Raw genomic sequence first — 22,247 nt, 5'->3', positions numbered from 1 at the left:
CCTGCCTCAGCCTCCCAAGTAGCTGGGACTACAGGTATGTGCCACCACGCCCGGCTAATTTTTTTGTATTTTCAGTAGAGATGGGGTTTCCTTCTGTTAGCCAGGCTGGTCTCGATCTCCTGACCTCGTGATCCGCCCACCTCGGCCTCCCAAAGTGCTGGGATTACAGGCGTGAGCCATCCCGCCTGGCCCAAATTTCTTAATTAAATTAAACTGAATTAAATTAAATTAATAAATAAATTTAAACTGAATTAAATTAAATCTGCATCCAAATTTAAACCAGGGTTCTCTGACTCAAAGTCCAACACCTCTACTAATCCCCCACTGAAGAAAATAATTCACTCATTCGTGCATCAAATATCTAATGTGTACCTACTATGTGCCCTGCCTTAGGGACACCAAAATAAGTCAGTAGAAGAGAGCCTTAAAAATAATTGGGCTTGGAGATTAAAGGGCAAGAAATCAAATGTTCCAGAGGGCAGTTATGAAGCTACTGTAACTATCTAGGGAGAGTTAATGACTTTCTAAAGTCCAGCAAAGGCAAGGGAGTGTGGTTGTAAAGTAGGGGTGTTTTGGATGGAGGAGTTGGGGGAAGATGGCTGCAGTCAGTTGTTTAAAGTAACTTTACTATTTGGCCAACCATATATTGATTTTCTTCTTCCTTCAAGTATCTACTGAGCACCTACAATGTACCGTGTTTCTTCCATCCACTATCTTATTCCATCTTTACAACCCACCACCTTTTTTTTCCCCCAGTCGGAGGCTCCGTCTGTTGCCCAGGCGGGAGTGGCATGACTGTAATCACAGCTCACTGTAGCTTTAACCTCTTGGGCTCAAACGATCCTCCTACTTCAGCCTCCCTAGTAGCTGGGACCACAGGCGCTTGCCACCACACCTGGCCTTGGTTAATTTTTTGTATAGGTGGGGACTCACTATGTTGCCCGAGCTGGTCTCGAACTCCTGGGTTCAAGTGATCCTCCTACCTTGAACTCCCCAGTGCTGGGATTACAGGCGTGAGCCACCACTCCCAGTCTCCCATTTTTTAAACAAACAAATAAATCAATTATCTCTAATCCCTTGCCATCACCGAAAACCCAGATGGCTTTAAACTCATTTACATTTTAGGTAAAAGCCCAGTTCAATTTTGCATTCATGTCTCACAAAGGAGTAGTGGTGGAGGTTTTTTAAAAATTTTTTTTGAGATCACTCTGGAGCGCAGTGGCAGGATCTCCACTCACTGTAATCTCCGCCTCCCTGGTTCAAGCCATTCTCGTGCCTCAGCAAACCGAGAAGCAGCTGGGATTATAGGTGCCCACCACCATGCTTGACCAATTTTTGTATTCTTAGTAGAGACAGGGTTTCATCATGTTGGCCAGGCTGGTCTCGAACTCCTGGCCTCAAATAATCTGCCCGCCTCAGCATCCCAAAGTGCTGGGATTACAGGCATGAGCCACCAGCCCGGCCAGTATACGCTTTGCTTTCTGCGCACAGTTCCTGCTATGAGACTCTCAGTCACTAAACAGGTCTAGTTTCTAGAAAATGCCCACCTTTCACTCTTGTAATATCAGTTTTCTGCTAATGGGCTAGGCCCCAGAAGGACTTCCAAGAAGAGCCCAAGGCACAGAAAACCGAGGGTAAATAATAGGATACAAAGTGACAAGGCTTTAACAGAGGCCTGCCCAAGCATTAGCTCAACTCGCTGTGAAAGCTTGGCAAATGTATCACTGAGAAGATGGGAACATTTGAAATACCCGTCCTTTAAGAATAAGTAGGGGTTCGGCTGGGCGCGGTGGCTCACGCCTGTAAGGCCAGCACTGTGGGAGGCCGAGGCGGGCGGATCACCTGAGTTCCGGAGTTCGAGACCAGCCTGGCCAACATGGTGAAACCCCATCTCTACTAAAAATACAAAATCAGCTGGGCGCGGCGGCGAGTGCCTGTAATCCCAGCTACTCGGGAGGCTACGACAGGAGACTCTCTTGTACCTGGGAGGCGGAGATTGCAGTGAGCCGAGATCGTGCCACTGCACTCCAGCCTGGGAGAAAGAGGAGACAGAGCAAGACTCCATCTCAAAAAAAAAAAAAAAAATTAGTTCATGGGCGAGGTGGCTCACGTCTGTAATCCCAGCACTTTGGGAGGCCGAGGCGGGTGGATCACTTGAGATCAGGAGTTCGAGACCAGCCTGACCAACACAGTGAAATCCCCGTCTCTACTATAAATACAAAAATTAGCTGGGCCTGGTGGCGGACGCCTGTAATCCCAGCTACTTGGGAGGCTAAGGCGGGAGAATCGCTTGAACCCGGGAGGCAGAGGTTGCAGTGAGCCGAGATTGCGCCAATGCACTCCACCCTAGGCGACAACGCGAGACTTCATCTCAAAAGAAAAAGAAAAAAAAAGAATTAGGGGTTCTCCACGTGCAGCTGGGAAAGACGTTCCAACAATCCTCATTTGTACCAGGCCCTTTGGTGGGCCAGTCCCTTAGGGCATCTCTAATGCTCCTAATGTCCATCCTAGAAATTCAGGGAGGGAAAGAAAGTGCTGGGGCGAGCATGGGTCAGGAGAGAATAGGGTCAGGATTTAGGGCCCTGAAGAAGCCTCGGGCAAACTCTTTGGACAGACAGACCTTCCAAGAGGGCCCTCAGGCTCCGCACGTGGTCTGGGCGGGAAGTGCGGGCAGAGAGACTAGGAAGCCTTCCCAGCAGCGCCGGCGGACCGGGGCAAGGAAAGGGTCGAATAGTTACCATGCCATTCTGGGGCCGTCCCTCTGATTGGCCCGAGCTCCCTCAGCCCGAGTCGCGGCGCTCCAAGGAAGGGGGCGGAGTCTCTATGTTGCGTCACCACCCTTCCCGACACCCCGCCGGTGCTTCCCAATCTAGCCATTCACAAGCCCACTTCGAGAGGCCCTGTGTGACGTCACGACACGCTCCCGCCAACCGCGGCGGCGAGGGGCGGGACTCCACGGCCCTCTCACCGCTCCTACCCTGTGCCTCCCCGAACTCCTTCTGCCCCTCCTCTTCCCTCTCGCCCCTTCCCCCTTCAGTTCGGTTTCAAAAGACGCGTTGCCCAATGAATAACAGGGTCGACCCAGAGTGGCGGCCGCGTCCACCAATTCGCGGACGGCGAGGGCGGAGCGTCCGCAACGAGCCTCTGACGCCGGGCGGCGTGTGACGCAGTCGGGCCCTCTGCGCGCTGCGCCCGAAGCGGCGGTCGGTGGCAGGGGTGGTAGCGGCGGCGGCGACGGTTTCGTGGGGGCCGCGCGCTGCTCTGTGAGCGGCGGGTGGCAGCAGGGGACTCCTGACACTTCCCCTTCCCCACCGAACCGCGGTAAGTCGGGAGCCCGAGCTGCAGCGGCCGAGACCGGCAGGTTTCTCCCCCCTTCCGGGCGGGCGGACGCGCGGGGCGTCTCAGGGCCTCTCCGCTTCGAAGTCTAGCGCCGCTGCGCGCACCTTCTGGCCTGAGAGAGGGGCGGTGCTGAGGACCCGGGGGCCCGGAGCCCGGGAGGCCCGGCTTTGGAGGCCCTGGGAGAGAATGGACATCAGTGGGGTCTAGGCCTGGAGGTCTCCAGTTGCTGCCCACGCGAGTGGGTGTCTGTCTGGTTGTACTCATTCATTCAGTGGTGTAAGGACCCCACGGTGGGCTGGCCTTTCCGGGGTCAGCGCCTTGAAACCCTGAATACGGTCTGCCCCGCACTTCCTTGACCGTCATGTGGGACTGGGCTTTATTTGCCTTGGCTTCTCCATAAGGGAAGTGGGCACCCCGAGGATTAGGGTGAGTCCGAAGTTTGGGAGATTTTTAAGATAATATCTGAGAATAGGAGTCGGTTCGGTGGAGCAAAAGGTTCTTTTCTATTTTCCCACGTGTTCAGTGTAAAGCCAGATGAGGAGACAGATTGAGTTTCTGGATTACTATAGCCATAAGGACTTTAGAAATTGTTTAAGTCAATCCCCCTACCTTACATCAGTTTTGTAGATGGGGAAACCGAGGCCCGGAGTAACAGGCAGGATTAGCCAATGCCAGATTTTTGACAGTCTAAACAGTTTTCTACTACCTCACCCTCCCTGGATATTTCAGTCTCCCATTATTAAGAATTCCCTTTAGGAGGTCGGTGCGGCATGGACATTAGGTAGCTAAACGTAGATGTAGTCTTCACAGCGTTTTCCGTTTAGTTGCTACCAGCTCTGTTCACGGGTAAGGTGGAAGCTTCGTTAGTGGTACCCTAACCTAGAGCTTGAGAACTAAACTTAGAAGATGGTTAAAGAACGTCAGCGTTGTTATGTATCGGAAACAAATCGGTAAAACTACAAGCCATTGTTTCCCTTTCTAAATCTGAATTTTTTGACTTGTGTCAGCTGATGAGGACTCGGAGTCAGTTAGGGATTTATAACAGTACTGGAATAGAAAGCAGGAAATATTGATAAGACTTAGAAAGCCAGGTAGGAGTCCGTTTGTAGTAGTTGTACCTCGGAACTCATGGCTCCTTTCAGGTACAGAATTCAAAGTGAAGTATTATAGTAGAATAAGGTGAGGAAATAAAACTCCGTTTTGGAGGAAGAAGCTAACTGGAATAAAGAGCAAAAAGAGAGCAGTGATCATTCCCTGTGACGGTCTTACAAATTCGAAAAGAAACTCGAGTTAACTGGGTTACAGTATGTTTACCTGGTGGAGGAAGTTAGGGTATTTAAAAACCAAAACTAGAGGTTGGACAGGATAAAGGTACTGGGAAATACTTGGGTAAAATTATTCTTTTTGACTCTTCAGATTTGATGAAATTGAATTAGTTGACACTTGGTTCTGTACACATCAGTAAGATTGTTACTTTGTTCTTGTATAGATGACAAAGCATAAACTCAGAACTAGTAGTGCAGAAGAGAACCGTAGTCTAAATAGTAAAGCGTGAACAGGGTATGTTTTCCGTGACATTTTCTCAGTTCAGGCATCACCCTCTTCTGGGAAGCTTTTCTTGGCATTCTCTTCTCTGCAAGCTTCCATAACACTTATTTGATATTTCTATTTATAGCACATATCATTTTTATTTTAGCTGTTTTTTTAATTAGGCTGGTAAAATATTTTCATCTTATCTTTGTTGTCCAGTTGCTTGCCACATAGTAGGCCCTCAGTAAGTGTGTTTACTTGAATGAATAGACAAATATGGAGGAGTTATACCTAACAGTAGTCAATAGAGAGGCTCCTGAAATATGGGGCCCAGATAAGATAGTTCCTGCTGTTTATATGTTATGTGATACTTTGGTCCCTGACATTTATTTGTTTATTTATTTATGAGATAGGGTCTCACTCCATCACCCAGGCTAGAGTGCAGTGGCGCAATCTCGGTTCACAGTAGCCTCTACCTCCTGGGCTCAAGCAATCTTCCCACCTCAGCCTCCCAAGTAGCTGAGACCACAGGTGTGCACCACCATACCCAGCTAATATTTTTTTGTATATTTTGGGTAGAGACAGGGTTTCGCTATGTTGCCCAGGCTGGTATCGAATTCCTGGGCTCAAGCCATCCCCCACCTCGGCCTCCCAAAGTGCTGGGATTACAGGTATGAGCCACTGTGCCCAGCCAGTACCTGACTTTATGTCTACTAGGTCCTAGATAACTAAGAGCAAGTAGAATTTTTAAGGAACTAAATTTACGGCTTTGAAAAAATTATATTATTTTCTTGTAATATGATTTATGTGGTGGTAGTTAACCTGGAAAGTAAAGAATGATGGTACTAATGTTTAATTTCCAATAATGAGACTATGCAGTTATGTAATTTGTTGAAAGGTTAGGGAACTAAGAAACTCAGAGATTTAAGGATAAGTATTGGCTGAGCATGGTGACTGACTACTGTAATCCCAGCACTTCAAAGGTCAAGGCAGGTGGATTTCCTGAGCCCAGAAGTTCAAGACTAGCCTGGGCAACATGGGGAAACCCTGTCTCTACGAAAAATACAAAAATTAGGCAGGTATGGTGGCATGCACCTGTACTCCAGCTACTTAGGAGGCTGAAATCAAAGAAACATCAGAGCCTGGAAGATTGAGACTGCAGTGCTGTGATTGCACCACTGCTTTCCAGCCTGGGAAACTGCGTGAGGCCCTGTCTTAAAACAAAGGCGTGGTGTGGTGGTTCACGCCTGTAATCCTAGCACTTTGGGAGGCCGAGGCGGGTGGATTGCCTGAGCTCAGGAGTTTGAGACCAGCCTGGGCAACATGGTGAAACCCCATCTGTACTTAAAAAAAAATATGAAAAATTAGCTGGGCGTGGCAGCATGCGCCCATTGCCCCAGCTACTCGGGAGGCTGAGGGAGGAGAATTGCTTGAACTCGGGAGGCGGAGGTTGCAGTGAGCCAAGATTGTGCCACTGCACTCCAGCCTGGGCGACAGCGAGACTCTGACTCAAGAAAAAAAGAAAAGAAACAAAACAAAACAGTATGTATTAGAGGCAAGGTAGGTAAACATTTCCTGAGAACTTGGTGCATTCTTTTTGTTTGAAATTGACCGTAAGTATTTGGCACAGTATGGCTCTAGAGAAAGGTTTCTCAGCTTTGGAACTTTGAGACTTTGGGCCAGATAATTATCGTGGGGGCTCTGTTGTATATTGTAGGATATTTAGCAACATTCCTACCTCTACCCATTAGATACCCATAACACATCCTCTGCAGGTTGTAACGATCAGGAATGTCTGAAGAAATTGTCAGAATTGCCCTTGATTGAGACTACTACTTTAGTGAAAATATTTCACATGTATTTATTTATTTATTTATTTTTTGAGACAGAGTTTCGCTCTTGTTGCCCCGGCTGGAGTGCAATGATGTGATCTTGGCTCACCGCAACCTCCGCCTCGTGGGTTCAAGCAATTCTCTTGCCTCAGCCTCCCGAGTAGCTGGATTACAGGTGCGTGCCACCACACCCAGCTAATTTTGTATTTTTAGTAGAGACAGGCTTTCACCATGTTGGCCAGGCTGATCTGGAACTCGTGACCTCAAGCAATCCACCCGCTTTGGCCTCCCAAAGTGCTGGGATTACAGGCGTGAGCCACCATGCCCAGCCATAATTACCACATTGAGGAATTTGTACTTAATTCAGTGTAATGGGAAATACTTGCAGTTTTTTTTAGTAAGGAAAGAAAAATTCTTAAAAATATAGTGGTAGCTGGCCGGGTGTGGTGGCTCACACCTGTAATCCAGCACTTTGGGAGGCTGAAGCGGGTGGATCACAAGGTTAGGAGTTTGAGACCATCCTGGCTAATATGGTGAAACCCTGAATCTACTAAAAATAGAAAAATTAGTTGGGCACAGTGACACGCACCTGTAGTCCCAGCTACTGGGAGGCTGAGGCAGAGAATCGCTTGAACCCAGGAGGCAGAGGTTGCAGTGAGCGCAGATTGCACCACTGTGCTTCATCCTGGGTGACAGAGCAAGACTCCATATCATAAAAAGAAGACCTCTAAATGTACCAGTCTTTGCATTCTGACATATATTATGTTGTTTTGTTTGAAGTATGTGAAGAAAATCTAGCCTCATACAGATACATAGTTGGAAAAGAGAGGAGTATTTTAATGGCCTTTTCAGATAATTCTAACTGCTCTTTGACACTACAGTCAAACCTTTTTATTTGTTTGTTTTTTTGAGACGGAGTCGTGCTCTGTCGCCCAAGTCGGAGTGCAGTGGCGCTATCTCAGCGTACTCCAACCTCCGCCTCCCAGGTTCAAGCAATTCTCCTGCCTCAGCCTCCTGAGTTGCTGGGACTACAGGTGCACATCACCACGCTGGGCTAATTTTTTGTATTTTTAGTAGAGACGGGGTTTCGCCATGTTGGGTTTGAACTCCTGGCCTCAAGTGATCCGCCTGCCTTGGCCTCCCAAAGTGCTGGGATTTCAGACGTGAGCCACCGTGCCCGGCCTCAAACCTTTTTAAAGGTTCATTACAGTATGGAATCTGAAACTGTGTCATTGAACTTTTGTATTCTGTTGTATTAAAAACCATTGGTCTGTGTTGTACTTTGAATAGACCTTTACACTTCTGTGATTTTATAACATGATGCATGTTGATTTTGAAATTATTGATTTACTGAGTTATGCAGATCTTCTTTTTTTGTTGTTTTTTTGTTTGTTTGTTTCTTTGTTTTTGAGACAGAGTCTTGCTTTGTCACCCAGGCTGGAGTGTTGTGGCACAATCTTGGCTCACTGTAACCTCTGCATTCCGGGTTCAGGTGATTCTCATGCCTCAGCCTCCTGAGTAGCTGGGACTACAGGTGTGTACCACCACATCTGGCTAATTTTTGTATTTTTTGTAGAGACGGGGTTTCAACATGTTGACCATGGCTGGTCTGGAACTCCTGACATCAAGTGATCTTCCCGTCTCGGCCTCCTAAAGAGCTGGCATTACAGGCATGAGCCCCATAGGCCTGGCCCAGATATTCCAGATGTTGACAAATTTAATTATACAGTTGTTTCTGTTTCCACCCATCTCATCAGATAAGTCTTTTTAAGAATTGAGAAGCTTATGACCTGATAGTGGTGAATACATGTTTTTTTTTTTTTTTTTTTTTTTTTTTTTTTGAGATGGAGTTTCACTCTGTCACCTGGGCTGGAGTGCAGTGGCACGATCTCGGCTTATTGCAAGCTCCACTTCCCGGGTTCACGCCATTCTCCTGCCTCATCCTCCCGAGTAGCTGGGAATACAGGGGCGTGCCACCATGCCCGGCTAATTTTTTGTATTTTTAGTAGAGATGGGGTTTCACCGTGTTAGCCAGGAAGGTCTCGATCTCCTGACCTCGTGATCCGCTCACCTCCGCCTCCCAAAGTCCTGGGATTACAGGCATGAGCCGCTGCGCCCAGCCGAATGCATGTTTTTGTAGTTGTAATTTTTGTATCAAAATTTTTTTTTTTTTTTTTTTAGATGTAGTCTCACTCTGTCGCCTAGGCTGGAGTGCAGTGTCGTGATCTCGGCTCACTGTAACCTCGCCTCCTGGGTTCAAGCAATTCTCCTGCCTCAGCCTCCTGAGTAGCTGGGATTACAGGCAGGTGCCACCACACATGGCTAATTTTTGTATTTTTAGCAGAGACAGGGTTTCATCATGTTGGTCAGGCTGGTCTTCAACTCCTGACCTCGTGATCTGTCTGCCTCGGTCTCCCGAAATGCTGGGATTATAGGCATGAGCCACCATGCCCAGCCTTTCTTTTTTTTTTTTTTTTTTTTTTTTTGAGACGAGGTCTCGGTCTTTCCCCCAGGCTGGAGTACAATGGTGGGATCTCAACTCACTGCAACCTCCGCCTTCTGGGTTCCACTGATTCTCCTGTCTCCGCCTCCCAAGTAGCTGGGATTACAGGCGTCCACCACCATGCCTGGCTAATTTTTTGTATTTTTAGTAGAGATGAGGTTTCACCATGTTGGCCAGGCTGGTTTTGAACTGCTGACTTCAAGTGATCCACCTGCCTCGGCCTCCCAAACTGCTAGGATTACAGGTGTGAGCCACCATGCCCAGCCAGTACCAAATCTTAATAACCATAGTTTGTCAATCATTCTTTGAAATTAAAATGGTGGGCGGGGCGCAGTGGCTCACGCCTGTAATCCCAGCACTTTGGGAGGCTGAGGGGGGCGGATCACAAGGTCAGGAGATCGAGACCATCCTGGCTAACACGGTGAAAACCCGTCTCTACTAAAAATACAAAAAATTAGCTGGGCGTGGTGGCGGGCGCCTGTAATCCCAGTTACTCGGAAGGCTGACGCAGGAGAATGTCGTGAACCTGGGAGGCAGAGCTTGCAGTCAGCCGAGATTGCGTCACTTCACTCCAGCCTGGGCAACAGAGCCAGACTCTGTCTCAAAAAAAAAAAAAAATTAAAATGGTGTTCCATGAGAAAAACAACTACATTTAGCTTTCAAAAGTAATTACAGGTGGTTTGCCCCTTGATATCCTTTGTATTTCAGTAAGCAGAAGTTTTTGAGTATTTCCCAATACTGAATTAAAAAGAATTGTGCTGTAGTGTTGAGAAATAATACAACTAATAATTTTTGCTGCTTCATTAAGGACCCTTTTAAGTGAAAGTGGAATTTTTTATATTGTAAATGGGTGACAGTGAAGAATTCAGTGAGTGTTAGTTCAGCACCATTTGGGGTTGTTGCTTTGATTCATGCTGAGTTCCCAGCATTTTTGCACACCATTGATTTTGCACATCAGCACAGAGGTCAGAACAGTAAAGAAAAAGGGCAAAGTGTCTTAGTTTTATTGTGAAAATGGTTTTGATTTCATTGAACCCCTGGAAGAAGTGTTGGGGACTTTTAGGGGTCTTTGGGTCACACTTTGAGAACCACTAATCTAGAACAATATTTCACATTGGTTCATAGAGCCCTAAGCTGCTTCATAGGGCAGAGCTGGTGGGGTTCTACTGTACCTACTCCCTCTTCACTTCAGCCAGAGCAGCTTCTGCTTATGTCTGTTTTATATGTCGGGTTTCATGGCTAAAAAATATTTGAAAATCATTAGTCAAGGGGAAAAGAATTGAGCACCTGAATTAGGGCTGGTCTGTTCGTGAAGGGAACAGTTCATCCTCAGTAAATGTTACAGTCACTCATCACTTCACATCTTTAATTTTACTTCGTTTGACACAGAGCTTACTAGTATTTGCACACTCAACCTTCTTGATAGGTAAATGGGGCTGTGTGCCGTGGCTCACGCCTGTAATGCTAGCACTTTGGGAGGCTGAGGTGGGCGGATCACGAGGTCGGAAGATCGAGACCATCCTGGCCAACTTGGTGAAACCCCATGTCTACTAAAATACAAAAAATTAACCCGGTATAGTGGTGGGTGCCTGTAGTCCCATCTTCTCGAGAGGCTGAGGCAGGGAAATCGCTTGAACCCAGGAGGCAGAGGTTGCAGTGAGCTGAGATCATGCCACTGCACTGCACTCCAGCCTGGCAACAGAGCAAGACTGTCTCAAAAAAATAAATAAATAAAAAATAAGTAAATGGGCCTGGCACAGGGGCTCACCTATAATCCCTGCACTTTAGGAGGCCAAAGCAGGAAGATGGCTTGAGTCCAGGAGTTAGAGACCAGCCTGGGCAACATAGTGGCACATGCCTGTGGTCTCAGCTTTTTGGGAGGCTAAAGTGGGAGGATCAGTTGAACCCAGGAGGTCCAGGCTGCAGTGAGCCATGATCATGCCACTGCATTCCAGCCTGGGCAACAGAGTGAGACCTTGTCTCAAAACAAAAACCAAAAAAAAAAAAAAAAAAAAGAAATAGGTAAATGAATTTGTAAATTAAAAAGATGGATAGTTGGGAATAAAGACAGAGATGTGAGATAGATGGAAGAGGTTGAATGATCATAGTAATCTCAATATATTGTGTTTGTGCAGGGATGGGATTTGTTTTTGTTTGCAGTGGTGCTTTATGCTTGTGCTGAGTGATCAGTGGATGACACTTAAGCATTGAGAAATAAGAAATTATGGCATTCTAGCTAGCCATTGAACCAAAGTTTAGAGTGAGGGGACATTTATTATGCTTTTTAAATTATAAATACCTGTAAAATACCTGTTGAAAAATAAACAAAATGCTGCTTTTGAGGAGCTCTAGTTTGAGGCAGCTTTGTCCTCCTACCAGTCTTTTGGTGTAGGCTGTACAATCCCTATTGTTCAGATGTAGAAATTGAGGTCTGAGAGATTGAATATTATGACTTACAGTAGCAAGTGGCAGAGGAATTTTTTATTTTTTTAACTTTTTATTTTGAATTAACTTTAGATTTTAAGAGTCAATGATGGTAACTGACAGGTTTTTTTTTGGTTGTTTTTTTGAGATGGAGTTTCACTGTTGTTATCCAGGCTGGAGTGCAGTGGCACGATCTCGGCTCACTGCAATCTCTGCCTCCTGGGTTCAAGCGATTCTCCTGCCTCAGCCTCCCGAATAGCTGGGATGACAGGCATGCGTCACGACAACTGGCTAATTATGTATTTTTTAGTAGAGACGGGGTTTCTCCTTGCTTCTCAGGCTGGTCTTGAACTCCCGACCTCAGGTGATCCGCCCACTTTGGGCCTCCCAAAATGGTGCGATTACATGCGTGAGCCACCGTGCCCAGCCTTATACAGTGATTCTTAATAGTTAGGTATATATCCTTTCACTTTTAGAAATTTATTTATTTATTTATTTTTGGAGACAGAATTTCACTCTTGTCACCCAGGCTGTAGTGCAGTGGCGCAATCTGGGCTCACAGCAACCTCCACCTCCCAGGTTCAAGCAGTTCTCCTGCCTCAGCCTCCTGAGTAGCTGGGATTACAGGCATGTAGGCTAATTTTTGTATTAGTAGAGACAGGGGGTTTCACCATGTAGGCCAGGCTGGGCTCGAACTCCTGAGCTCAGGTGATCCACCAGCCTTGGCCTCCCAAAGTGTTGGGATTGCAGGTGTGAGCCACCGCGCCTAGCCGAGTGACAGTTTTAAATACAGATGTCTCACACCAAAGCTAATATACTCTTCACTCTAAAATGATTAGGGTTATGTTAAGGGGATGAAAAAAATGCTGCTCAGTGCTATTAGGAAGGAGCTTATGTAAGATGCTATGGACTATTTAAAATTAATTTACACCCAGTGAGCAAAGTCAAGACATTTTTTTTACCCAGAGCAGCAGACAGGTAAAACACTCAGGTGGCAGGTATAATAACAAATATATTGCATAACTAAAAGCAGCTGAGAGACACTAGTTTACGTAATCGGGGTTGGAAAGGAAGAGGGGAAGTAAAGTGTTTTATTTTTTTTGAGATGGACTCTGGCTCCGTCGCCAGGCTGGAGTGCAGTGGCCCGATCTCGGCTCACTGCAACCTCCGCCTCCTGGATTCAAGTGATTCTCCTGCCTCAGCCTCCCAAGTAGCTGGGACTAGAGGCACACACCACCATGCCCAGCTAATTTTTGTATTTTCAGTAGAGACGGGGTTTCACCATGTTGGCCAGGATGGTCTCGATCTCTTGACCTCGTGATCTGCCCGCCTCTGCTTCCCGGAGTGCTGGGATTACAGACATGAGCCACCGTGCCCGGCCTTTAAAGTGTTTTTATACTAATAAAGAGTTTAAGGGTGTGCGGCAGTCTTGTGAAAGCAGGTGAGGCTTGAGCAACAATTTTTAGGAAGAAAAGGAGATACGATTTTTAGAGAGGGTATGATGTTCTTTTTTTTTGTTTGAGACAGCGTCTTGCTCTGTTACCCAGGCTGGAATGATCTTGGCTCACTGCAACCTCTGCCTTCCGGGTTCGAGCGACTCTCCTGCCTCAGTCTCTCGAGTAGCTGGGATTACAGGCATGCGCCACCGCTTCTGGCTAATGTTTGTATTTTTATTAGAGACGGGGGTTTCACCCTATTGGCCAGTCTGGTCTCGAACTCCTGACCTTAGTTGATCTGCCCACCTTGGCCTTCCAAAGTGCCGGGATTACAGACCTTGAGCCACCGTGCCCGGCCTTAGAGAGGATATGATGTTCTAACCAAGGGAATGGCTTGATCAAAGATCTATCCTAGGGAGGATACTGTAAAACAGAAGGTTCCAGATAGTTTTGTTGGGATATGTTATTAGGTTACACTAGGCTAATGAATCTCTTCTTCCTGGAATTCCACCCAGCCTCGTTTCCCAGCCCTCTTTTCTTATCTAGGGCAAAAATTTTCATTCAGTTTAACTGTGTGTGATAATCCCTGGCTCTTCTAGTATTTTTGTGAAGGTTAGATGAGAGGATGTATGAAAAAATGCTTTGTAAAGTAGGAAGTACTATACAGTCCATTCATCTAACAAATATTTATTGTTTTTGCTGTTTGCTGGCTTTGATACAAAGGAGTTTAATGAAGTGGAAAGGAAAAAACTACTTCCCATTTACGTCTGGAGTTAGCAGCAAATTGGAAATGTCTTGGGAAGCTTGCATAGTCTTTCAGATAGTCTTAAAGTTGACAGTTGCCTGGAGTTGTAAACGTTTTGACCACATTTCAGGATATCCACTACTTTTCTGGGTAGAAAACTAAGTTTTGTCATTGTACCCAGAGTTCACAGAGATCACAAAAGTTAAGATATGTAAAACAGTATATCAGTGTATAGAACTTCAGTTTGGACAGTGTCAGAATATATGTCTGTCCATTGATTGGACTACTGGGTGTATTATAAGGCTACTTCTTGTATCTGAGAATCTGAATTATTAATTAGGAGATTTTTGAGCATAGAGGACAGAGTAAAATTAAGGATAAAGTTAAAGGTTTCTTTTCTATATAACACTATTTCATTTTTCTTTTTAAATATATCAAAAAGAAAAACCTGCAGTGGGTATAAATAAGTCCATTCATAAAGAAAAAAAGGAGAAAGGTTAATCTTTGTTGTAAATTTCATCTTTGCCATGGGTATACCTTATAAATTATCCTTACTCCATAAAAGAGATTATTTCTGATGACTAGAACTCCCATATTTGCCAGAGAAGTGTCTTTCCCTGATAGTGCTGGATCTGTAGTACCAATTGTTGGTTTTGTAGGTTCCCCATTTATAGTGAATGCAAGGTCATTTTCCTTTAATTGGCAATGTTCTTTCTCTAGGAGCTCTAGGCTCTAGACTCTAGAAGCATTGGCCGCTGGGGTCAACGATAGCTTTGTCTTGGGCAAATAGATTCTTGTGCCTTAATTTCTTCCTTGTAAAATAGAGATAAAAATACCTACATCGTTGGATTCTTGGGAGGTTTACATGAGATAATTCATAAGCAGCATTAGAACAGTGCCTGGGACATAGTAAAAACTCAAATGTTATCTTGTATTCTTGGTGGGGGTTTCAGCTTGGGCCAGTTTAACATATTTGAAAGGATAAAGGCTCAAGTGTGATATGCCTTTAAACTTTAATGGGTTTATTTCTGTCTCTAGGATTACTTTTTTTTTTTAATGGATTTTACTACATTTTTGGAGTAAAATCCAAATGGAATGGAAAATAGTTAATGCAAATATCTGTATTATCTAGATCTTTTGTTATTTGTTTGTTGAGACAGAGTCTCACTGTGTTGCCCAGACTGGAGTGCAGTGGCACGATCTCAACTAACTGCAACGTCTGCTTCCTGAGTTCAAGTGATTCTCCTGCCTTAGCCACCCGAGTAGCTGGAATCACAGGTGTGCACCACCGCTATCAGCTGATTTGTGTTTTTTTAGTAGAGGCGGGGTTTTGCCATGTTGGCCAAGCTGGTCTCAAACTCTTGGCCTCAAGTGATCTGCCCACCTTGGCCTCCCAAAGTGCTGGGATTACAGGCATGAGCCACCGCATCCAGCCTTGTTATTGTTAATAGAGGAAGTAAAGTGTTACATGTTCTTTCTCTGATTATGTCAGTAGTCACAAACTGAAAACCCACAGGAACCAGACAGTTGATGTAAATGAGTGATGGTGGGTATTGTGGCACTTTGGAGAGTGCATGCTCTCACAGAAGAGAGATAGATAGAGGGAATTGCTACTAAGCTTCAGCCTGTCATTGCCGTGAAGTGATTACAGTCATGGTTTGGTTAATTATCAGGTTCTTCATGAGAAGCCAAAAATCCGTTGGTTTTTTGGTTGTTTTTTTTTGTTTGTTTTTGCCATAACTGTATTTTTTTTTTTTATTCATTTATATTTTTTGAGACAGAGTCTCGCTGTGTTGCCCAGGCTGGAGTGCAGTGGCACGATCTCAGCTCACTGCAGGCTCCACCTCTGGGGTTCAAGCAATTCTCCTGTCTCAGCCTCCTGAGTAGCTGGGACGGCAGGCGCCTGCCACCACACCTGGCTAATTTTTGTATTTTTAGTAGAGACGGGGGTTTCACCATGTTGGCCAGGCTGGTCTCGAACTCCTGGTCTCAGGTGATCTGCCCGCCTCTGCCTCCCAAAGTGTTGGAATTACAGGTGTGAGCCACCGCGCCCGGCCAAGGGTGTGCTTTAGAGTAACTTGAACTTTTTCTGAATGCAAATGTCTGTACCCCAGCCCTAGACATTTTTGTTCAATATTTCTAGAATGGAGCCTGGGGGTTTGTATTTTTGTTTGTTTGCTTGCTTGCTGGAGTGCAGTGGCACCATTGTACCTTGCTGCAGGCCTGAACTCCTGGGCTAAAGTGATTCTCTAGCTTCAACCTCACTAGTAGCTGGAGCTTCGTACAGGTGTGCACCATGTTTTTTGTTTTTTTTTGTTTTTTTTTTGTTTTTAATAGAGACAGAGTCTTGCTGTGTTGTCCAAGCTTGTCTGGCTTTAAGCAGATCATCCTGCCTCAGCTTCCCAAAGCATTGGGATCTACAGATGTGAGCCAGTGTAACCAGCCAGAGTTTGTATTTTGAAAAGCTTGCCACCTAATTCTGATGTGGCCCTCTAGAACCACTGGTTTTAGTGAGCTTTGTTTAATCAAAGGAGTTACTCAGTTTTTGGATATTGAGATAAAGAACTTAAGTATTTGATTTTTTTTCCTAGGAAATTTCAGGAGAGAGAATATTTCTGTAAAGCATTTATTTAAGGGACAGCCTTATCTTTTTCAGTGTTGCACAAAATGTTTGGTTATTAGAATGACTGGAAGTGTTAGTGGGATACTAGAATTTGGGGAAGACCTCAAAATGCAATATTTAATTCTATTATATGAACACGGCCTGAGTTTCCTAGAAGAAAAGACTACTCTTTACATACATTGTGTGGCTATAATAGAAAAATCATCATCTCTGTCACAGAATCCAGATGAGCATGATTGACTGTTTTCAGAGTTTTTATGCTGAAAGTAGTTTACTTATTAATTTATTGTCTGCTAGCAGAAAAGAGGTAGCAGGCATCTAAATTTAAGGAAAATTTGTGGAGGGGGAAAGCTCTGAGTAAACTATGAAGCTATTTTTTATTTTTATTTTATTTATTTTTTTTTAATTGATCATTCTTGGGTGTTTCACTATGAAGCTATTCTTATTCAGACAGGGGGAACCAAACTTTTCTGTGTAGGCGTTCTTGGAACAGTTTGGTTCAGTTCCTTAAATGACCGGGTGCATAGTTTGGATACAGGAGTAAAATAATTTATGTGAGGTGAGCGTTTTTGTTTTTGTTTTTGTTTTTGAGACAGAGTTTCATTCTTGTCACCCATGCTGGAGTACAATGGTGCGATCTCAGCTCACTGCAACCTCTGCCTCCCAGGTTCAAGCAGTTCTCCTGCCTCAGCCTCCCAAATAGCTGAGATTACAGGCATGCACCACCACGCCTGGCTAATTTTTGTATTTTTAGTAGAGACAGGGTTTCACCATGTTGACCAGGCTGGTCTTGAACTCCTGAGCTCAGGTGATCCACCCGCCTTGGCCTCCCAAAGTGCTGGGATTACAGGCGTGAGCCACCGCGCCCAGCCAAGGTGAGCAGTTTTTTTTATTTGTTTTTGAGACATTGTCTCACCCTATCACCTTTGCTGGAGGGAAGTGGCATGATAATGGCTCACAGCAACCTCCACCTTCTGGGCTCAAGCGCTCCTCCCACCTCAGCCAACAGAGTAGCTGGGACTACAGTCCCGTGTCACCACACCAGTCCAACTTTGATTTTTTGTAGACAGGGTTTCACCATGTTGCCCAGGCTGGTCTCGAACTCCTGGGCTCAAGCAATCAGCCCGCTTCAGCCTCCCAAGCTGTCAGGATTAGAGGTGTGAGCCCACTGTGCCTGGCCAGAGGTGAGGGATTTTCATCAAAGGTTTTTCTGTAATCTTAGAAGTAGAAGATAGATAAGTAGGGGACCATAGAGAATAGTCTTAAAACGTAATCTCAAAGAGAATGTCAGGGCACCAGAATCTCTGGGATTTAGAGATAGAAGGCGGGGCATGCATAATTTGAAAAACATTTACTATTACCATGTTTTATATCCCTCGAAGGTAGGGGAGAAAGAAACTTTATAATGCAAACTATGGAAAATAAAGCCTTGGCCGGGTGCGGTGGTTTGCGCCTGTAATCCCAGCACTTTGGTGGTGTAATCTCAGCACCCAGGTGGGTGGATCACTCGATCAGGAGTTTTTTTAAGACCAGCCTGGCCAACATGGTGAAACCCTGTCTCTCCTAAAAATACAAATAATTAGACAGGCATGGTGACACACGCTTGTAATCCCAGGTACTTTGAGACTGAGGCAGGAGAATAACTTGAACCAAGGAGGAGGAGGTTGCAGTGAGCCACTGCACGTCCTTCTGTCTCAAAAAAAAAAAAAAAAAAAAAATGTTAGCTTTTTAGGTGGTTGGGTTAGCAGACTGTGTTTTAATTTTTGATGGATATGATTCATAACCTCCTATGAGGATCATATAAACATCTTGCCTTGTAGACCTGAAATATTTATTGATTAAAAAGGGGACTTAGGTTAAAAAAAAAAAAAGATTGAAAACATTGTTTTAAATGGATGGTTAATGTTGGGATCTGAAGTTTAACCTCACATTATGAAGTTTAACCTTACTGTTCAGCTCAGGAACATTGTAGATTATAAAGATCATTTTACAAGGTTTATTTTATCATACAGTTTGAGGATTTTGAATGAGAGTATATACTATAGTTCGAATAGGCCTAAGTTTGTGGAATGATAGATTTTCTAAAACAATTATATTCCATTTTGTGGTCTTTAAGAGAGTGATAATGTTTTCTTTTTCCCAGCTTTCTGAAACAAAGACTCATTTTGAAGATGTTTAACAAATCATTTGGAACACCCTTTGGGGGTGGCACAGGTGGCTTTGGCACAACTTCAACATTTGGACAGAGTAAGTTTTTAAAAAGGACAAAAGAGGGAGAAACCTTAATCTCCCTTACTAAGAACAAATCCACTCTGATAAGCTTTAGGTGGGAATTTTATTTTTACTTTCATATTTATAACAAAGTCGTCTTGAAAAAATAATTAGGATAAGATCTCTTTAACAGTTTTTAAGAAAGTAGAAATAAATTCTAAGTTTTCATGGCCTTCTTCTGATTGTCAGTAGAAGATACTTAAAATATTTATATTATTTTGGTTGACAGAAAGTTATAATTTGTTACTAATTTTCAGACCAGAAAATAATTCTCTTAATGTTGAAGTCTAAAATGCAGTTATGAAATAACTGCCCTGGAATTTACCCTGTGAACATGATGTGACATTCATGTCACAGAAATGTTAAAATGTGGAAGTGTCTAATTCCCATCAACCCTCCGGAGATCTACCTCCCTTCCTACCCAGTATCGTGTATGACTAATTGCCTGAAGCAATCCTTATTTACATTTAAACTTTTTGTTAAAAATTTTTGTGGAGGGGTTTTTTTTTTTTTTTTTTTTTTTTTAAAACCAGAAAGTCCACCCCCTCTGCAAAAAAAAAATTTTGTTTCCTGGTGAAAACCAGAAACCCTGCTAGACAAATTCTAAAAGAGCTGTGACACTTTGTTAAAAATGTTTATACTCATCCAAGTCTGGAAAGAATGGTATAATGAACTCTCATGTACTTATATCCCAACTTTAACAATCAGCATTTTCCCAGACTTGTTTTTATCTCTTTCTTTCCAGGAGGAGGAGAGCATCTTAACAGAATAAATTAAATCCCAGAAACTTTTCTCTAATTGATGAAAATTTTTTTTTTTTTTTTTTTTTTTTGAGATAGGATCCTGCACTGTCACCGAGGCTGGAGTGCATTGGCTCTATTATGGTTCACTACAGCCTCAACCTCCCAGACCCAAGCACTCCTCATACCTCAGCCTCCTAAGTAGCTAGGACCACAGTTGCACACCACCACGCCTGGCTCATTTTTCTCAGCTCGCTGTAACTTCTGCCTCCTGGGTTCAAGCAGTTCTCCTGCCTCAGCCCCCCGAGTAGCTGGGATGACAGGTGTATGGCACCATGCCCGGCTAATTTTTATATTTTTAATAGGGATGGGGTTTCACCATGTTGGCCAGGGTGGTCTCAAACTCCTGACCTCAAGCAATCTGCCCGCCTCGGCCTCCCAAAGTGCTGGGATTACAGGTGTGAGCCACTGCGCCTGGCCTCCTGGCTCATGTTTAAAATTTTTTGTAGAGGTGAGATCTTGCCGTGTTGCCCAGGCTAGTCTCCATCTCCAGAGCTCAAGCAGTTCTCCCACCTAAGCCTGCCAAAGCGAGGGGATTACAAGCATAAGCCACGGCACTGGGCTAAGGATTCTTTAAGAAGCATGACTAACAAACCTCTATCATACCTAATAAAATTAATAATAGAGGAAGTTTTTCTTTTTCTTTTTCTTTTTCTTTTTTTTTTTTTTTTTTTTTGAGATGGAGTCTCGCTCTGTCACCCAGGATGGAGTGCGGTGGTGCGATCTCAGCTCACGGCGACTTCCGCCTCCTGGGTTTAAGCAATTCTCCTGCCTCAGCCTCCCCGGTAGCTGGGACTACAGGCACCCTCCACCAGGCCCGGCTAATTTTTTTTTTTTTTTTTTTTATTTTAAGTGGAGACAGGGTTTCACCGTGTTAGCCAGGATGGTCTTGATCTCCTGACCTCATGATCTGCTTGCCTCGGCCTCCCAAAGTGCTGGGGTTACAGGCGTGAGCCTGTAACTTCCCCGCACCTGGCAGGGAAGTTTTCTTAAGTGGCTCCTGATCTCCTTTTTAAAGAATTCTACGTCCATGTCTGTGGTTTTTAACTAAAAGTGCCCATCACAGTCACCTTTGGAAGTTTTTATTCAAAATATGTATCTCTCATCAAAAACTATGGAATTAGAATCTCTGGAGTTGAAACCTGAACATGTATATTTTGAAAAAGCTTCCCAGGTTGTTCTGATGTGTTCCGCTAATGAAAGACCATTTATCTCAGTGACTACGGAGTGTCACTAATTTTTCTGAATTTTTAGTAGAGGCGGGATTTCACCATGTTGGTTAGGCTGGTCTTGAACTCCTGACCTCAAATGATTCGCCCACCTCGGCCTCCCAAAGTGCTGGGATTACAGGTGTGAGCCACCGTGCCCGGCCAGCACTTTTTTTTAACCTATGAACATCTGTAACTTTTATTGAAAAGTCACTCCTTTTGACTTTAAATTTTCATACTTCCCCTGGGGCGATGAATAAAATGTCTGTGGCTTGGTTTTTACTCTGTAATTCATACTCTGATGGGATTTTGAAAAAATGTTTTTAATTAGACTAGTAGTTCAAATGCAGAATTTTTTTTTTTTTTTTGAGACGGCGTTTCACACTTGTTGCCCCGGCTGGAGTGCAGTGGCACGATCTTGGCTCACCGAAACCTCTGCCTCCCAGATTCAAGCAGTTCTCCTGCCTCAGCCTCCCTAGTAGCTGGGATTATAGGCATGTGCCACCACGCCCTTCTAATTTTGTATTTTTAGTAGAAACGGGGTTTCTCCATGTTGGTCAGGCTGGTCTTGAACTCCCGACCTCAGGTGATCCGCCCGCCTCGGCCTCCCAAAGTGCTGGGATTACAGGCGTGAGCCACCATGCACAGCCTCAAATGCAGAATTTTAAGAAATATTAAAATGCCTTTTCATTTGGTCATCTTACGTAGATTTTATTCTAAATTCTAATTTACTCTGGATTTTGCTTTTTCAGATACTGGCTTTGGCACTACTAGTGGAGGGGCATTTGGAACATCTGCATTTGGTTCTAGCAACAATACTGGAGGCCTCTTTGGAAATTCACAGACTAAACCAGGTAGGGGCTTTATTTGTGATATAACTGGTTTGTTTGTAGCTAGTATAGGAATTGACTTAGTGGCTCTGATGTACTTAACTTTTTCCCTCCTTCTCCATCTCCTCAGGAGGATTGTTTGGAACCAGTTCATTTAGCCAGCCAGCTACCTCCACAAGCACTGGCTTTGGGTTTGGTACGTCAACAGGAACAGCAAATACCTTGTTTGGAACTGCAAGCACAGGGACCAGTCTCTTCTCATCCCAAAACAATGCCTTTGCACAAAATAAACCAACTGGCTTTGGCAGTAAGTGGGACATCACTGGAGTTCTGCATCTAATAATTTGGTTTGCTTATTGAATGTGTTGTCTTTTCTCCGTTTTTCTGTGTTCATCTACCTTCTTTTCCTACTAAATGGCAAAAACAAGGGAAGAGGAAAACTTCAATATGTACTGAAAAGGTTAATAGGCTGGAAAGGAAGAGAGTATGTACATTTCTATAAGGATAGAAATTTGAAGCACTGTTATTTAAGGGATATGCAGAGGAAGAGCTTCCTGATGCAAAATGGCTAGAGAAAGGATGAAAAGCCAGGTCAGAGTAGTGTAGTTCATGTTAAGATGGGAGAATTTCAAGGAGGAGTGTGTTACAGTCAGCCATATTGTGCTGCAGAGGCACCTTCTTCTTGTCTCTGTTTTATATTTGGTAT

General features: G+C 44.4%; 2 protein-coding genes and 1 pseudogene across 49 annotated transcripts in view, besides 4 other annotated features; 1 reads left to right on the top strand and 2 right to left on the bottom strand.

Moving 5' to 3' along the window:
* The window catches only part of PGAP2 (post-GPI attachment to proteins 2), a 28,652-nt gene extending 25,651 nt beyond the window's left edge, over positions 1 to 3,001 (bottom strand). For 16 of the 37 annotated variants that reach the window (NR_104271.2, NR_045926.2, NR_045925.2 and 13 more), the window contains exon 1: positions 2,739 to 2,823. Coding sequence is in view for 15 of the 37 variants with exons in the window: in NM_001346402.2 (NP_001333331.1) it covers positions 2,739 to 2,741 (3 nt within the window). In the remaining 22 variants the exon portion in view is untranslated. Of the gene's footprint in view, positions 1 to 2,620; positions 2,903 to 2,977 lie in introns of those variants that run through there. The other 21 variants (XM_011519992.2, XM_047426778.1, XM_011519996.2 and 18 more) reach the window with 3 other exon arrangements.
* Positions 3,151 to 3,320: a silencer, noted in NCBI's record as "silent region_3083". NCBI's record gives its function as "represses an Ori minimal core promoter by ATAC-STARR-seq in GM12878 lymphoblastoid cells {active_cell/tissue: GM12878}" and the evidence as "EXISTENCE:reporter gene assay evidence [ECO:0000049][PMID:35858748]".
* Positions 3,167 to 22,247, top strand: part of NUP98 (nucleoporin 98 and 96 precursor) — a 122,545-nt gene continuing 103,464 nt past the window's right edge. For 11 of the 12 annotated variants that reach the window (NR_157590.2, NR_157589.2, NM_001365128.2 and 8 more), the window contains exons 1-4: positions 3,167 to 3,321; positions 18,576 to 18,679; positions 21,464 to 21,565; positions 21,672 to 21,848. Coding sequence is in view for 9 of the 12 variants with exons in the window: in NM_001365128.2 (NP_001352057.1) it covers positions 18,604 to 18,679; positions 21,464 to 21,565; positions 21,672 to 21,848 (355 nt within the window). In the remaining 3 variants the exon portion in view is untranslated. The remainder of the gene's footprint in view (positions 3,322 to 18,575; positions 18,680 to 21,463; positions 21,566 to 21,671; positions 21,849 to 22,247) is intronic. The other variant, NR_157591.1, reaches the window with a different exon arrangement.
* Positions 3,401 to 3,490: a silencer, noted in NCBI's record as "silent region_3082". NCBI's record gives its function as "represses an Ori minimal core promoter by ATAC-STARR-seq in GM12878 lymphoblastoid cells {active_cell/tissue: GM12878}" and the evidence as "EXISTENCE:reporter gene assay evidence [ECO:0000049][PMID:35858748]".
* Positions 8,393 to 9,310: an enhancer, noted in NCBI's record as "H3K4me1 hESC enhancer chr11:3812641-3813558 (GRCh37/hg19 assembly coordinates)". NCBI's record gives its function as "activates a minimal SCP1, AML or CMV promoter by ChIP-STARR-seq in naive H9 embryonic stem cells {active_cell/tissue: H9 hESC(naive)}" and the evidence as "EXISTENCE:reporter gene assay evidence [ECO:0000049][PMID:30033119]".
* Positions 9,311 to 10,230: an enhancer, noted in NCBI's record as "H3K4me1 hESC enhancer chr11:3811721-3812640 (GRCh37/hg19 assembly coordinates)". NCBI's record gives its function as "activates a minimal SCP1, AML or CMV promoter by ChIP-STARR-seq in naive H9 embryonic stem cells {active_cell/tissue: H9 hESC(naive)}" and the evidence as "EXISTENCE:reporter gene assay evidence [ECO:0000049][PMID:30033119]".
* RNU7-50P (RNA, U7 small nuclear 50 pseudogene) lies at positions 19,270 to 19,325 on the bottom strand (annotated as a pseudogene).

The sequence above is a fragment of the Homo sapiens genome, chromosome 11 (assembly GCF_000001405.40).
Source record: "Homo sapiens chromosome 11, GRCh38.p14 Primary Assembly".
In the NCBI taxonomy this organism is placed as follows: domain Eukaryota; kingdom Metazoa; phylum Chordata; class Mammalia; order Primates; family Hominidae; genus Homo; species Homo sapiens.
The sequence above is the reverse complement of the archived record's forward strand: the minus strand, read 5'-3'. Positions and strand labels throughout refer to the sequence as shown.